We start from the raw sequence: 15,366 nt of genomic DNA, 5'->3' as shown, positions 1-15,366 counted from the left end.
TGATCTCAATCTCCTGATCTCGTGATCCGCCCGCGTCGGCCTCCCAAAGTGCTGGGATTACAGATGTGAGCCACCGCGCCCGGCCTTATTATTATTATTTTTTTGAGATGGAGTCTCGCTCTGTCACCCAGGCTGGAGTGCAGTGGCACGGTCTCGGCTCACTGCAAGCTCCGCCTCCCGAGTTCACACCATTCTCCTGCCTCAGCCTCCTGAGTAGCTGGGACTACAGGCGCCCGCCATCGCGCCCAGCTAAGTTTTTGTATTTTTAGTAGAGATGGGGTTTCACCATGATAGCCAGGATGGTCTCAATCTCCTGACTTCATGATCCATCCACGTCAGCCTCCCAAAGTACTGGGATTACAGGCGTGAGCCACCACGCCCAGTCTGTATTTTTTTTTTTAACATTTCGAGATAATTTCAAATTTGGAGAACAACTGTGATCATGTAAAGAACTCCCATGCACCCTTTACTGAGATTGCCCAGTGGCTGATGCCCTAATCCCTTTAGTGTTGCTGTAAAAAAAAGGAGGTTTATTTGGCTCACAGTTCTGGAGGCTGTACAAGAAGCACAGCATCAGCATCTGCTTTTGGTGGGGCCTCAGGCTGTGTCCACGTATGCTGGATGGGGAAGCAGGCCTGGTGTGCAGAGACCACAGGGCCAGAGAGGAAGCAGGAGAAGGATGGAGGGAGGTGCTAGGTTCTTTTTCTTTTTTTGAGACAGGGTATGCTCTGTTGCCCAGGCTGGAGTGCAGTGGCACAATCACAGCTTGCTGCAGCCTCCACCTCTTGGGCTCAAGTGATCCTCCCATCTCAGCCTCCTGAGTAGCTGGGGTTACAGACATTGACCATATCATCTCTTTTGTAGAGACAGGGTTTTGAAACGTTGCCCAGGCTGGTCTTGAACTCAAGTGATCCACCTGCCTTGGCCTCCCAAAGTGCTGGGATGACAGGTGTGAGCCATTGCACCTGGCCATACCAGACTCTTTAACAATCAATTCTCGGCTGGGCGCAATGGCTCACGCCTGTCATCCCAGCACTTTGGGAGGCCAAGGTGGGCAGATCACTGTAGGGTCCAGTCCTAAGGGGCTTAGCAGGTGTTCTCCCCATGTGCGGAGACGAGAGATTGTAAGAAATAAAGACACAAGACAAAGAGATAAAGAGAAAACAGCTGGGCCTGGGGGACCAATACCATCAAGAGGCGGAGACCGGTAGTGGCCCCGAATGGCTGGGCGCACTGATATTTATTGCATACAGGATAAGGGGGCAGGGTGAGGACGGTGAATCCTCTAAGTGATTGACAAGGTGAAGCAAGTCACGTGATCATGGGACAGGGGGCCCTTCCCTCTTAGGTAGCCGAAGCAGAGAGGGAAGGCAGCAAATGTCAGTGTTTTCTTCTATGCACTTACAAGAAAGATCAAAGACTTTAAGACTTTCACTATTTCTTCTTCCACTATCTGCTACGAACTTCAAAGAGGAACCAGGAGTACGGGAGGAGCATGAAAGTGGACAAGGAGTGTGATCGTTGAAGCACCACAGGGAGGGGGTTAGGCCTCCGGATGACTGTGGGCAGGCCTGGAGAATATCCAGCCTCTCACAAGAAGCTGGTGGAGCAGTGTTCCCTGACTCCTCCAAGGAAAGGAGACTCCCTTTCATGGTCTGCTAAGTAATGGTTGCCTTCCCAGACACTGGCGTTACTGCTTGACCAAGGAGCCCTCAAGCGGCCCTTATGCAGGTGTGACAGAAGGCTCACCTCTTGCCTTCTAGGTCTCTTCTCACAATGTGCCTTCAGCACCTGACCCTATACCCGCCAGTTATTTCTTGGTTATATTAGTAACACAACAAAGAGTAATATTAAGAGCTAATGATTAATAATGTTTATACTAATGATTGATAATGTCCATGATCATCTCTATATCTAATTTGTATTATAACTATTCTTTATTCTAACTATTTTCTTTATTATACTGCTACAGTTTGTGCCTTCAGTCTCTTGCCTCGGCACCTGGGTAATCCTTCACCCACAGATCACAAGGTCAGGAGATCGAGACCATCCTGGCTAACACAGTGAAACCCCGTCTCTACTAAAAAAAAAAATACAAAAAATTAGCTGGGCGTGGTGGCGGGTGCCTATAGTCCCAGCTACTCAGGAGGCTGAGGCAGGAGAATGGCATGAACCTGGGAGGCAGAGCTTGCAGTGAGCTGAGATCGCGTGGCTGTACTCCAGCCTGGGTGACAGAGCAAGACTCCGTCAAAAAAAAAAATCCATTCTCGGGCCAGGTGCGGTGGCTCATGCCTGTAATCCCAGCACTTTGGGAGGCCAAGATGGGCGGATCACAAGGTCAGGCGACCAAGATCATCCTGGCTAATAGGGTGAAACTCCGTTGAGAGATGAAGCCAGCTGCACTTCCTGGGTTGAGTGGGGACTTGGAGAACTTTTCTGTCTTACAAGAGGATTGTAAAATGCACCAATCAGCACTCTGTAGCTAGCTAGAGGTTTGTAAAATGCACCAATCAGTGCTCTGTAAAAATGCACCAATCAGCACTCTATAGCCAGCTAGAGGTTTGTAAAATGCACCAATCAGTGCTCTGTAAAAATGCACCAATCAGCACTCTGTCACTAGCCAGAGGTTTGTAAAATGCACCAATCAGTGCTCTGTAAAATGGACCAATCAGCACTCTGTAAAATGGACCAATCAGCAGGACATGGGCAGGGACAAACAAGGGAATAAAAGCTGGCCACCACTGCCTCCCCACCCCCAGCCGGCAGCGGCAACCCGCTTGGGTCCCCTTCCGCAGTGGGGAAGCTTTGTTCTTTCACACTTCACAATAAATCTTGCAGCTGCACACACTTTGGGTCCATGCCACATTTGAGCTGTAACACTCACCACAAAGGTCCGCAGCTTCATTCTTGAAGTCAGTGAGACCATGAACCCACCAGAAGGAACCAACTCCAGACACACTACACACCGTCTCTACTAAAAATACAAAAAATTAGTGGGGTGTGGTGGTGGGTGCCTGTAGTCCCAGCTACTCAGGAGGCTGAGGCAGGAGAATAGTGTGAACCCGGGAGGCGAAGCTTCCAGTGAGCCAAGATTGTGCCACTGCACTCCAGCCTGGGCGACAGAGTGAAACTCAAAAAAAAAAAAAAAAATTCCTCACAGGAAGTAATCAAGCAAGAACTCACTCATTACCTTGAGGGTGGCACCAAGCCATTCATGATCTGCCCCATGACCCAAACACCTCCCATCAGGCCCCACCTCGAACATTGGGGATCAAATGTTAACATCCAAACTCTAGCAGTTGGCATTCCATCCCATCTGCTCTATCACATTCCACCACCTCGTCTATCTACCTACCAGCCTATCAATCATCTGTCACCTATTGTCTATGGCCTATTATCTATCATCGATCACCTATTGTCTATAATCTATCATCTATTGTCTATCGCCTATTATCACCTATTATCCTCTATCATCTATCACCTATCGTCTATTATTTATCACCTACTGTTATCTATCATCTATCACCTATCGTCTACTATCACCTAATGTCTATTGTCTATTATCTATTATCTATCACCTATCGTCCACTATCTATCACCTACTATCTATTGTCTATTATCTATTATCTATCATCTATCACCTATCGTCTATTGTCTATCATCTATCAATAATCTGTCGTCTCTTTAGCTGCTACCTACTACCTTTTTTTCTGAGCCAATGAGTGAATGGGGCATCTGAGTGGGGAGTGGGGGGTGGGGCCTGAGGAGGGGTGAGCTCTGCCCCAGGGACGGGCATCTCCCATTCCCCTGGAGCCAGATGGGAGATGAGAAGGGCCCAGGGGCTCCTGGAGCTGCCGTAAGTCCCACCCTCCCCACCCGGCCTGGCAACTCCTTGCATTCAGAGGAAGTGACCTCTTTATCCGTATATACTTGAGTGTGGATTCCCTGCAAACAAGGGCGTCTTCTTACGGAACCTTCATGCAATGATCAAAATCAGGAATTTAGGTTTCCAGATCCACACAGCCCACGTGAGAGCCAACAGGATGGGGGTGGAAGGGCCTCTGGCTTCCCTGTGTGCGAGCATGGACGCACGTACAGAGAGGAGGGGGCATGGATTGTGTGTGTGAGAGTGCGTGTGTTAGTGTGAGTGTGTGAGGGTATGAGCACAGACGTACTGAGAGGAGGGAGTGTGGATGACGTGTGTGAGCGTGTGAACACGGACACACAGACAGGAGGGGGTGTGCATTGTGTGTTAGCATGTGTTAGTGTGAGCATGTGAGTATGTGAGCACGGACGCACAGAGAGGAGGGGGTGTGGATTGTGTGTGTGTGAGCGTATGAGTGTGTGAGTGTGAGCACAGATGCATATACAAAGAGAAGGGGTGTGGATTGTGTGTGTGTTAGTGTGAGCGTATGGACGCACATAGAGGAGGTGCATGGATTGTGTGTGTGAGCGTGTGAGTGTGAGCACAGATGCACAGAGAGGAGGGGCGTGGATTGTGTGAGTGTGAGCGTGTGTGAGCAGGGACGCACATACAGAGAGGAGGGGGAGTGGATCATCTGAGTGTGCACGTGTATGAGCATGAGAGGCAGAGAGGGGCAAGGGGGACAGTAGGAGTCAAGGAATGTGTCCACCGTGTTCCCAGCACTGGGCTTCAAATCTGGCTAATTCTTGGAGCTCACCCGTCACCTGCTCATCTACAGATGGGTAAACTGAGGCCCGCGGCAGAGGCCTTACCTTCGCGCAGGGTGGCTGGAACCGGGAGGATCTCTGGGGACCCCTGCCCTGCTCCCACACCTCCTCCCACAGGCTCCCAGCCGCCTGCCCCTGGCAATGCGAGGCCTGGATGCTGGGCCAGGACCACCACAACCGCCGACTCTGCACCGCTCCGCGCGGGGCCGCCCACATCCTCCAAGCGCGTCCCTCCACAGTGTCCGAACTGACACCCAGCGGAGAAGGGTGCTGACGCCTCCAGGAGGTGGCGCTGCAGCCAGACACGCCGACCTGGGCCGCGGGGAAAGGGGAGGACGGCGGTCGGTCGCCTGAGGTCTTCATCTCCGCACGCCCGGGGGTATCGACCGGCTGCCAGTGGAGCAGACACAGGCACAGCCCGTCCGTGTGAGGAGCGGGCGAAGGGGCCAGAGGATGAAGGGACCGGGGTTGGCGGCCCCGGCCTCCGTGTTTCCTGTGAAGGAGGACGGAGACCGGCACTGGCACCCACGGCTGCACTTCAGCTCGGAGTCGTCCATGCACAGCTGGGCCCTGGCCTCTCCACCTGTGCGTGTTCCCGGGGATGCGGCCATCTTTCCATCTCTGCGTCCGGGGGGAGGGGGGTGGGGGGTGTGGTCTTTCCATCTCTGTGTCTGGGGGGCAGGTGTAGTCTTTCCATCTCTGTGTCCTCGGGGGGTGGGGTGTGGTCTTTCCATCTCTGTGTCTGGGGGGGGGTGTGGTCTTTCCATCTCTGTGTCTGGGGGGGGGGGTGTGGTCTTTCCATCTCTGTGTCTGGGGGGGAGGTGTGGTCTTTCCATCTCTGTGTCTGGGGGGGGGGTGTGGTCTTTCCATCTCTGTGTCTGGGGGTGTGTGGTCTTTCCATCTCTGTGTCTGGGGGGGGTGTGTGGTCTTTCCATCTCTGTGTCTGGGGGTGTGTGGTCTTTCCATCTCTGTGTCTGGGGGGGGTGTGGTCTTTCCATCTCTGTGTCTGGGCGGGGTGTGTGGTCTTTCCATCTCTGTGTCTGGGGGGGGGTGTGGTCTTTCCATCTCTGTGTCTGGGGGGGGGTGTGGTCTTTCCATCTCTGTGTCTGGGGGGGGGGGTGTGGTCTTTCCATCTCTGTGTCTGGGGGGGAGGTGTGGTCTTTCCATCTCTGTGTCTGGGGGGGGGTGTGGTCTTTCCATCTCTGTGTCTGGGGGGGGTGTGGTCTTTCCATCTCTGTGTCTGGGGGGGGGGTGTGGTCTTTCCATCTCTGTGTCTGGGGGGGAGGTGTGGTCTTTCCATCTCTGTGTCTGGGGGGGGGGGGGTGTGTGGTCTTTCCATCTCTGTGTCTGGGGGTGTGTGGTCTTTCCATCTCTGTGTCTGGGCGGGGTGTGTGGTCTTTCCATCTCTGTGTCTGGGGGGGGGGGTGTGGTCTTTCCATCTCTGTGTCTGGGGGGGGGGGTGTGGTCTTTCCATCTCTGTGTCTGGGGGGGGGGGGTGTGGTCTTTCCATCTCTGTGTCTGGGGGGGAGGTGTGGTCTTTCCATCTCTGTGTCTGGGGGGGGTGTGTGGTCTTTCCATCTCTGTGTCTGGGGGGGGTGTGGTCTTTCCATCTCTGTGTGTGTGGGGGGTGTGGTCTTTCCATCTCTGTGTCCTGGGGGATGGGGGTTGTGGTCTTTCCATCTCTGTGTCCTGGGGGAGGGGGTGTGTGGTCTTTCCATCTCTGTGTCCTGGGGGGGTGTGGTCTTTCCATCTCTGTGTCCTGGGGGAGGGGGGGTGTGGTCTTTCCATCTCTGTGTCCTGGGGGGGTGAGGCCTTTCCATCTGTGTGTCTGGGGGGGGGTGTGGTCTTCCCATCTCTGTGTCCTGGGGGCGGTGCGGCCTTTCCATCTCTGTGTCCTGGGGGAGGGAGGGTGTGGTCTTTCCATCTCTGTGTCCTGGGGGGGTGAGGCCTTTCCATCTGTGTGTCTGGGGTGGGGTGCGGTCTTTCCATCTCTGTGTCCTTGGGAAGGGGGGGTGCAGTCTTTCCATCTCTGTGTGTGGCGGGGTGCGGTTTTTCCATCTCTGCGTCTGGGGGGGGTGTGGTCTTTCCATCTCTGCGTCTGGAGGGGGTGTGGTCTTTCCATCTCTGTGTCCTGGGGGAGGGGGGGTGCGGTCTTTCCATCTCTGTGTTTGGGGATACAGTCTTTCCATCTCTGTGTTGGTGGGGGGTGCAGTCTTTCCATCTCTTTGTCTGGGGTGGGTGTGGTCTTTCCATCTCTGTGTCCTGTTGTGGGGGGTGTGGTCTTTCCATCTCTCTGTCTGGGGGGGTGCGGTCTTTCCATCTCTGTGTCTTGCGGGGGTGGTCTTTCCATCTCTGTGTCTGGGGGGTGGGTGTGGTCTTTCCATCTCTGTGTCCTGTGGCAGGGTGCAGTCTTTCCATCTGTTTGTGTGTGTGTGTGTGTGTGGGGGGGGGGGGGGGGGGGGTGGTCTTTCCATCGCTGTGTCCTGGGGGGGTATGGTCTTTCCATCTCTGTGTCTTGGGGAGTGTGGTCTTTCCATCTCTGTGTCCAGGTCGGGGGGAGGGGTGGTGCGGCCTTCCTATCTCTGTGTCCTAAGCGGGGGTGTGGCTGTTCCATTCTGTGTTTGGTAGGGGGGTGCGACCTTTCCATCTCTGTGTCCAGGGAGGGGGGTGTGGCCTTTCCATCTCTATGTCTTCGGGGTGTGTGGCCTTTCCATCTCTATGTCTTGGGGGTGTGTGGCCTTTCCGTCTCTGTGTCTGGGGAGTGCAGTTGTTCCATCCTGTGCCTTGTCTGAGTCCTCTTGACAGCTGCAACCTGGAAGCCACTTCCAGGTGTGTCGGGAGTTGGTTCCTTCCAGTGGGTTCGTGGTCTTGCTGACTTCAAGAATGGAACTGCGGATCTTCGTGGTGAGTGTTACAGCTCTTAAAGATGGCATGGACCCAAAGAGTGAGCAGCAGCAAAAGTTATTGTGAACAGCAGAGGGTCACCACTGCTGGCTGGGTGGCGGAGGGGGTTGTGTGTGTGTGTTGGAAGGGGCAGCTTTTATTCCCTTATTTGTCCCTGCCCATGTCCCGCTGACTGGTCCATTTTACAGGGTGTTGATTGGTCCATTTTACAGTGTGCTGATTGGCCCATTTTAAACACTTCTAGCTAGCTACAGAGCATTGATTGGTGCATTTTTACAGAGCCCTGATTGGTGCATTTTACAAACCTCTAGCTAGCTACACAAAAGTTCTCCAAGTCCCCACTCGACCCAGGAAGTCCAGCTGGCTTCAGCTCTCACAGGTCTTGCAGCTGAAACACGAGCATCTCTGCCGGGCGTGGTGGCTCATGACTGTAATCCCAGCACTTTGGGAGGCTGAGGCAGGCAGATCACCTGAGGTCAGGAGTTCGAGACCAGCCTGGCCAACATAGTGAAACCCTGTATCTACTAAAAATACAAAAAGTAGCTGGGTACGATGTTGTGTGTCTGTAATTCCAGCTACTCAGGAGGCTGAGGCAGGAGAATCGCTTGAACTCAGGGGGCAGAGGTTGCAGTGAGCCAGGATGATGCCACTGCACTCCAGCCTGGGCAAGAAGAGCGAGCCTGCCTCAAAAAAAAAAAAAAAAAAAAAAAAAAAAAAAAAGAAGAAAGAAAGAAAAGAAACATGAGTATCTTCTTAGAAACGGATGCAGCCCACGTACAGTTATGATGCTGGCTTTGAAACAAAACAGTAACATTCTTCATACCGAAGTTTTACACTCCCCACTTGTCAGAAGAAAAACTGAGACAGAATAAACAAATCGCTTCCAGGCAGAGATGAAGCTAGGATTGGAAGCCAGGACCAACAGTCCCCGAAGGGTATAGAACAGTCCTGCTGTGAACAAAAGAGTTTTAGCAGAATCTGCTGTTGTGGAAAGGGCTAATACATCCTCGTGGAGCGCTGCCGCCAGGGCTGTGCTGCTGGCCTTGTGCAGGGAGCTCACGCAAGAGCCAGAGGATTCAACGGGCTGGGGCAGGATCTTCTCAGGGAGATGGAGAACCAGCAGTAAATCTGCGTGTTTGCATTTTTCTTGTGTTGTGCTTTCTCAAGCAGCCGACAGGCCCCGGGCGGCCCCACCACAGCCACCCTCGGCCAGTGCTCATCTCCCACCCCACACATGTGCGTGTGAAACCTCTCTTCACTGATGCACCCAGGCCTGGGCTTCAGGCTTTAGTGTCTTCCCTTGAGTGCTTGGGAACCTGCCTTCAGTTTTCAGAGCACGAAGCACTGTGCCATGTCAGCTCTGAACCTGAGGCCCTTGAGATTCCTTGACTCCAGGTTGCTGGAGAGCTCTCAGCATCATCCTGTGGAGCTGGGCAGCAGCTGCAGATGACCACCCACTGCCTCCAGCCAGACCCAGAGCCCCAAAAGGAGTGGGCTGTGAGGCAATGCCAGGGGCAGGGGGCCAGGAGCACACCAGTCACATGAAGGGACCAGCCCCACAGGGTCTGTGTGTTTTTCTCCCCGTGTGCAGAGACAAGAGATCGTAGAAATAAAGACGCAAGACAAAGAGATAAAAGACAGCTGGGCCCGGGGGACCACTACCACCAAGACGCGGAGACCGGTAGCGGCCCAGAATGCCAGGCTGCACTTTTATTGGATAGAAGACAAGGGGGCAGGGTAAAGAGTGTGAGTCATCTCCAATGATAGGTAAGGTCACGTGTGTCACGTGTCCACTGGACAGGGGGCCCTTCGTCATTTGGCAGCCAAGGCAGAGAGGCAGAGAGAGAGAGGCAGCTTACGCCATTACTTCTGCATATCAGAGACTTTTAGTACTTTCACTAATTTTGCTACTGCTATCTAAAGTGCAGAGCCAGGTGTACAGAATGGAACATGAAAGCGGACTAGGAGTGTGACCACTGAAGCACAGCATCACAGGGAGACGGTTAGGCCTCCAGATGGCTGCGGGCGGGCCTGACTGATATCAGGCCTTCCACAAGAGGTGGAGGAGTAGAGTCTTCTCTAAACTCCCCCAGGGAAAGGGAGACTCCCTCTCCCAGTCTGCTAAGTAGCAGGTGCTTTTCCTTTGCACTGACGTTACCACTAGACTACGGTCCGCTTGGCGACGGGCATCTTCCCAGACGCTGGCGTCACCGCTAGACCAAGGAGCCCTCTGGTGGCCCTGTCCGGGCATGACAGAAGGCTCACACTCTTGTCTTCTGGTCACTTCTCACTATGTCCCCTCAGCTCCTATTTCCGTATGGCCTGGTTTTTCCTAGGTTATGATTGTAGAGTGAGGATTATTATAATATTGGAATAAAGAATAATTACTACAAACTAATGATTAGTGATACATATATAATCATATCTATGACATATATCTAGTATAACTCCTGTTATTTTATATATTTGTTATACTGGAACAGCTCGTGCCCTCGTTCTCTTGCCTTGGCACCTGGGTGGCTTGCCGCCTATATCACATGCTGTGGGAACAGGGCCGCTGGAGGAAGACGTGGTCGGGAGTCTCTGAGCGCCCTAATTTTATCAAAACAGAGTGATTTCTCCAGGACACACTGCCCCCAGTGTATCTCTGCAATCCAATGCCAGCCCCAATCTCCTGGCCTGCATTTCCTGATGCAGGCTCTGTGGTCCCCGCTGGCACTAGTGATGGATCCTGCACCCTCTGGGGCAGCACCCCCCACTCCCCCAGCATCCCACACACCCCCAAGCACCCCATGCCCCCAGAGCCAGTGCCCCTCCCTGTGGGCATCAGATCCTACCCCCACCAGGTCTACTCCCTAAGTGGTGTGGCAAGGACAACTGGGTGTGGCTCCCAAAGCCAGGAGGTCCGGGACGAGGTGGAGTGCTGTATCCTACCCCATCACCCACCTCTGAGGGGTGCCAGGACTTTATAAATCTTCCTGAAAACTGAGGGTGGAAAACAGAATACCCATGGGTAACAATAACCACTCCGCACCTGACTCAACACAGAAATGAAGACTCAAGACCATCAGTGAAAAATACTTATTTCATGTGTTTAAAAATACATTCTTAGGGTGGGCCCTGCAGGAGGAGACAGGCCGTCCACATCTCCTTCCCAATAGTGTGTCCAGGTCGTTTCCAAAATCTGTGGGTCCCTCACAGCTTCTGATGACAGCTGCTAATGCCATTTGCTGAGGAACAAGGATGGGGAGGATGGCGAGGGCCTGGCCCCCAGGGCGGCCACACCAGAAGGTCGGAGAAAGGCCCAAGGCGGATGCCACGCCCAGCAGTGGTGACTGCCCCCCACTCCTTTTCTGAGTCTATCAGCATTGTTTGGTTTTCTTCTTGTTGCTTTTAAATCCTCGAGCGGCACCCTGACCAAAGCAGATGGTAGAGGGTATTCTGGGATGGAAGAAAGTTTCTATTAGATGCTGTATTTGCCAACCAACAACCCAGGTCATAACAGCACTTGTGTGTCTCCTTCTCATTCTCTTTCACTCTGGGAACATGCGGAATGCAGAGCCGGCCCTCCTGGGCCCTGGGGCAGCTCCCTTTCCACAGCCTGAGACCTAGTTCCTGTGGGGGGTCCCCGCCAGCCACCAACGCACACCCGCTGGGAAGAACTCCGCAGAGAGGGCGGCTCCTGCCAAGCCCTCTGGGGCTGAGACTTCCTGCTACCCCATGTCCATTCCATGAAAACCCCTACTGTCCCAGCCCCCCGGGGCTCATTCACAGGCCAAAGTCCAGGCATCTGTAAGGAGGGTGCAGGGAACATTAAGTTCATCGTTCCACCTGTTTGGAGTCTTTGGTGATGTTTTTCCCCACTTGTTCACCGTTTTTCCCAAATTAATTTAAAATCAACTTTAACTAGAAAGGCAGACGGCACAGGTGACGCTAGAAAGGCAGACAGTACAGGTCATGCTAGAAAGGCAGACGGCACAGGTCATGCTAGGAAGGCAGACGGCACAGGTGACGCTAGAAACGCAGACGGCACAGGTGACGCTAGAAACGCAGACGGCACAGGTGATGCTATTAAGGCAGACGCCTGGGTTGTGACTGAAGCAACTGCAAGTGAGACTCTTTCCATCCCACTCAGACAATGAGGAAAAGTGAGTGGTGCTTGGCATTCCTGCGCTTCAATGGCTCAAAAACAGAGTATGCGAGAGAAACTAAGTTATTCACAGGACCTGAGATATCTGGACTTTCTTCTCTGGCGGAAGCCGATTTTCTTACCCAGCGTTACCTTTCTGAATTCAGTATGAGAAGAGCTGCGGCCCAGGTGCAGCCCAGAATCCTCAGCACCGAACACATGTTGAGAACGGGTTTCAGAAAGAGCTCAGACACTGACCTATGTCTGTAGATCCGCCTCTCACCTGCCGGTGCAGGGGAGGCTGCCACAGGCTCAGAGCAGATTTCCATGGCCTCCCCTTCTGACCGCTCTCCACTGTCCCCTGGGGCTTCTGCTGAGGCTGGGCTGCGGGGAGAGAGCAGTGAGTAACTGCCCTGCACGGCTCCCACAGCCCCTGTGTTCCCCAGAAATGAACATGCAAGAAAGAAACTGGATTTCCCTGTAAGTAGCATATTTTCTTACTATTTTGGCATAGTCTGATTTTATAGTGTGGTTTAAGATACTGGGAAAAGGAGAATGATTACAGCAAGGCCATTGTTTATATAATAGAGTCTGCATCTTATAAACTTAACTGTAACAATCATACTTTTTTTTGAAAATAGTATTTTTATGGTGCCAACGGTGCCACGGGTCTTTTTATGAGTGTGAGAAATTTGCTAAAGTTAACCAGAGACTATAAACTAGTCTCTTCCATAATACGAATGTCTTAATCCAGCATTGCACGGTTTTTCTCCTTAAAATGATCCCTCGGAAAGGAGACAATTACTTTACACGTAAGTCTTTGTAAAGCCTCCCACATTGCAGTGGGTTCTCCCAGTTCTTTTATTTTAAAGAGCAAATTACTACTTGAGAAAATGTAGAGTCTGAAAAACTCTGATCAATAAAATTGTAGATGATTATGAAAGTTCACCTCATCAGTTAAAAAAAGAAGAAATATAACACAATTTAAAAATTGTTCCGGCTGGACATGGTAGCTCATACCTACAATCTCAGCACTTTGGGAGGCTGAGGCAGATGGACGGCTTGAGCCCAGGAGTTCACGACCAGACTGGGCAACATAGCAAGACCCTGTCTCTACAAAAAATAGAAAATTTTGCCGAGTGCGGCGATGCGTGTTGGTAGTCCTAGCACTTTAGGAGGCTGAAGTGGGAGAATCGCTTGAGCCTGAGAAGTGGAGGTTGCAGTGAACCTACATCACACCACTACACTCCAGCCTGGGTGTCAGAGCAAGACCCTGTCTCAAAAAAAAAAAAAGATTGTTCCTGGAAGTATTTCCCAGAGTGCACTCTAGGCAGGAACATGTTAATCAACAGCTTTGTCATCAAGTTCATATGCGCACAACCAACCAGGACAAAAGGAAAGCCAGGGCTGCATGATGTGTGAGCACGGCCGACGGCTGCAGGAGGTACAGACACGGCCCCGAGGGGTGTGAGTGCGGATGACCACGGCCGACTGCTGCAGGAGGTACAGGCATGGCCCAGAGGGGTGTGAGTGCGGAGGCGCTGCGCCCGCTCATTCCCACACCCCCTCTGCTGCCTCCACCGGCACAGAGCTGGGCAGCCAGGGGCTCCCCTCCAGCCTCCCTTCGGCAGGGTGGCCGCTGGCACAACCACCTGTAGCTGTGTTGCCAGGGCTTCAGGTACCTGCAGGTGAACACCCCATTAGGTGACACACAAGTGCTTAATAAGTCTGACCGTCTATGCATTCCGGCTAGTTGGAAACCTTTTCCTAAAATCAAAAGCAGACACGTGCTGAGCCTGGCGGCTCCCTACCTTCTGCTTTTCTTTGGCTTATCAAACCGGAAGTCCGCGGGGTACAGGTGCATCCTCACCATGTGATCCTTCCGGTCTCTGCTGGTCTTGAACTTCTCTGTGCAGCCTTCTACCAAGCACTGATACTGAAATGGAGACCGTGTCACCTCCCTCTGACCCCTGGCCCTCCCCCACCGCCATGCCCCCGTAGCAGAGCTGCCAAGGGCGGAAAGGTGTCCCCGGCCTTGCCCGAGCACCCGAGAGCTGGGGGCAGCACTCTGAGCCCATCACCAATGGGGGGTGGCCTCGGCGGCTGTGCAGTTGTCACCCACCATGTCCTGCCTCTCAGACAGGATCTGGAAGAGCGAATCGTGCCACTCCAGGATGTGGGCGTCCAGCAGGTGTCCGGAAGGGAAGGCCCGCTTGCAAAAGGAGCAAACATTTCCGTGCAGCGTGTGGTAGTGGTGCTCGTAGTCGTCCAGGGCATCGAACACCTGGCAGCAGCCGGCCACCTGGCAGGCAAACGCGGGCACCCTGCCAAGGAGACGTGCTTCAGGAGCCCTTCCTCCGGTGCGAGGAACCAAGCTGGACTTTCTGCACAGTTTCCCTTTGAGACGTCCAATAAAGCCCCTATGCATCTTTTGCAATCCCAAACCCTCTTTTTATGAATTAAGTTTCACAAACAGGCTAGGTGGTGGAAGAGTCGGCCACGCCAAAGCTGGACAGGCACAGCGCCTCGGTGGGGCGGCCGCACATGGAAGAGCGGCAGCACAGCCCCAGGGACCAGGCACCGGTCAGGGAGGCGGCGCAGGAGTAGCACTGGCTAGGCACTGCCCATTCGCTTACCTGGGCTTCTCAGGCACGTCGGCCACCTGCATGATCACGTCCTGGAGGTAGAGGTGGCGCTGCACGTCCCCATCCTGCAGGAAAAGTGCGCCGTGGGCGGGGCCAGGTGACTCGCGGCACGCCCACCGCGTCAGGCCTCGCCCACACCCGTGGCCCCAGTCATCCCGCGCTCCGGTCCCGCCCCACAGCCTCAGGCCCCGCCCACTCCACGTTCCGGCCCCGCCCCACCACCTCAGGTCCCGCCTGTCCCAGGCTCCGGCCCCGCCCCGCAGTCGTAGGCCCCTCCCACTCCAGGCTCCGGCCCCGCCTCGCCGCCGTAGGCCCCACTGGATCCTACAACTACTTTTTCCCTCTTTTGCTCACGCACCTCGAAGAACTGGTGCTCCCGCGGGAAGCGCACGGGGCGCGCAACGAAGCGAAAGGGCGCGGCCCCAGCCGCGGGATCCCGCTCTACAGGCAGCGGCTCCGCCGCCCCGGGCCCCGCAGCGAGGCGGGCGCACAGCGCGGGGGGCAACTGCATCACCCCGGGCGCGGGCGGGCGCAGCCTGTCGGCCACCGTCCGCGAGCCGAGCCGGACGTGACGTCACGCTCACTTCCGCCGCCGTCGGGGGCTGCGCGGGGGCTGTGGCTCCGGGACTGCGGTGAGTCCTGGCCGAACGCGGGCGCGGGCGTGATGAGGGGGTTGGGGGACTGCCAGGCCCGGGGGGGCCCACGAGGCGACGGGGCTGGCGGGACGCGGCTCTTCCCGCGCGCTCCCTCTGGCTGTGCAGCGGTCCCCGAACTCTGGGGCCGAAGCCCTTCGGGCCTGCACCGGCCAGGCCAGCGTCTTGCCCCGCGGCCCGACACTCAGCCGGGGCGGGGCGGAGCGGGCCTCCGGGTCGTCCCGGGTGTCCCCTCCCAGCCCTGGGAAGCCGGGTCGCAGGTCCCCCTCTCGCACGCCCTCTCCCGTCCGCCTTGCCCCGCCTGTCGTCTCCCGCTGCAGTCCCTGGATCTTGTTCCCTCTAA

At 54.7% G+C, this 15,366-nt stretch overlaps 3 protein-coding genes across 7 annotated transcripts in view, besides 7 other annotated features; 1 reads left to right on the top strand and 2 right to left on the bottom strand.

Moving 5' to 3' along the window:
• ZNF511-PRAP1 (ZNF511-PRAP1 readthrough) overlaps positions 1-14,911 on the bottom strand; it is a 43,770-nt gene extending 28,859 nt beyond the window's left edge. The window contains exons 1-5 of the mRNA NM_001396060.1: positions 14,729-14,911; positions 14,362-14,435; positions 13,848-14,049; positions 13,537-13,661; positions 11,984-12,109 (exon numbers count right to left, since the gene is read on the bottom strand). Of these exons, the coding sequence (NP_001382989.1) occupies positions 11,984-12,109; positions 13,537-13,661; positions 13,848-14,049; positions 14,362-14,435; positions 14,729-14,881 (680 nt within the window). The 5' untranslated portion in view covers positions 14,882-14,911. The remainder of the gene's footprint in view (positions 1-11,983; positions 12,110-13,536; positions 13,662-13,847; positions 14,050-14,361; positions 14,436-14,728) is intronic.
• Positions 5,054-5,283: an enhancer, noted in NCBI's record as "active region_4245". NCBI's record gives its function as "activates an Ori minimal core promoter by ATAC-STARR-seq in GM12878 lymphoblastoid cells {active_cell/tissue: GM12878}" and the evidence as "EXISTENCE:reporter gene assay evidence [ECO:0000049][PMID:35858748]".
• Positions 8,981-9,482: an enhancer, noted in NCBI's record as "H3K4me1 hESC enhancer chr10:135127847-135128348 (GRCh37/hg19 assembly coordinates)". NCBI's record gives its function as "activates a minimal SCP1, AML or CMV promoter by ChIP-STARR-seq in naive H9 embryonic stem cells {active_cell/tissue: H9 hESC(naive)}" and the evidence as "EXISTENCE:reporter gene assay evidence [ECO:0000049][PMID:30033119]".
• Positions 9,489-9,758: an enhancer, noted in NCBI's record as "active region_4244". NCBI's record gives its function as "activates an Ori minimal core promoter by ATAC-STARR-seq in GM12878 lymphoblastoid cells {active_cell/tissue: GM12878}" and the evidence as "EXISTENCE:reporter gene assay evidence [ECO:0000049][PMID:35858748]".
• Positions 10,664-14,911, bottom strand: ZNF511 (zinc finger protein 511). Of its 2 annotated transcripts, none has more exons than NR_130127.2 (6): positions 14,729-14,911; positions 14,362-14,435; positions 13,848-14,049; positions 13,596-13,661; positions 11,984-12,109; positions 10,664-11,037 (listed from the first exon to the last, which is right to left on the bottom strand). NR_130127.2 is itself a non-coding variant. In NM_145806.4 (6 exons), exons 1-6 carry the CDS (start codon positions 14,879-14,881, stop codon positions 10,959-10,961), a joined length of 759 nt encoding a protein of 252 aa, NP_665805.2. In that variant the 5' UTR covers positions 14,882-14,911; the 3' UTR covers positions 10,664-10,958. The 2 variants fall into 2 exon arrangements, 1 of the variants encoding a protein (NP_665805.2); NM_145806.4 differs by having other exon boundaries at positions 13,537-13,661.
• The window catches only part of TUBGCP2 (tubulin gamma complex component 2), a 33,703-nt gene continuing 29,824 nt past the window's right edge, over positions 11,488-15,366 (top strand). For 3 of the 4 annotated variants that reach the window (NM_001256618.2, NM_006659.4, NM_001256617.2), the window contains exon 1: positions 14,953-15,002. The gene's annotated coding sequence lies outside the window, so the exon portion shown is untranslated. Of the gene's footprint in view, positions 12,206-14,952; positions 15,003-15,366 lie in introns of those variants that run through there. The other variant, NR_046330.2, reaches the window with a different exon arrangement.
• Positions 14,128-14,823: an enhancer, noted in NCBI's record as "H3K27ac-H3K4me1 hESC enhancer chr10:135122506-135123201 (GRCh37/hg19 assembly coordinates)". NCBI's record gives its function as "activates a minimal SCP1, AML or CMV promoter by ChIP-STARR-seq in naive H9 embryonic stem cells {active_cell/tissue: H9 hESC(naive)}" and the evidence as "EXISTENCE:reporter gene assay evidence [ECO:0000049][PMID:30033119]".
• Positions 14,128-15,316: a biological region, named in NCBI's record as "H3K27ac-H3K4me1 hESC enhancer GRCh37_chr10:135122506-135123201".
• Positions 14,426-14,720: an enhancer, noted in NCBI's record as "tiled region #2011; K562 Activating DNase unmatched - State 1:Tss". NCBI's record gives its function as "activates a minimal TATA promoter and a strong SV40 promoter by Sharpr-MPRA in K562 cells {active_cell/tissue: K562}" and the evidence as "EXISTENCE:reporter gene assay evidence [ECO:0000049][PMID:27701403]".
• Positions 14,467-15,316: a silencer, noted in NCBI's record as "silent region_2973". NCBI's record gives its function as "represses an Ori minimal core promoter by ATAC-STARR-seq in GM12878 lymphoblastoid cells {active_cell/tissue: GM12878}" and the evidence as "EXISTENCE:reporter gene assay evidence [ECO:0000049][PMID:35858748]".

The sequence above is a fragment of the Homo sapiens genome, chromosome 10 (genome assembly GCF_000001405.40).
Source record: "Homo sapiens chromosome 10, GRCh38.p14 Primary Assembly".
In the NCBI taxonomy this organism is placed as follows: domain Eukaryota; kingdom Metazoa; phylum Chordata; class Mammalia; order Primates; family Hominidae; genus Homo; species Homo sapiens.
This window is presented reverse-complemented; position numbering and strand designations above follow the sequence as displayed.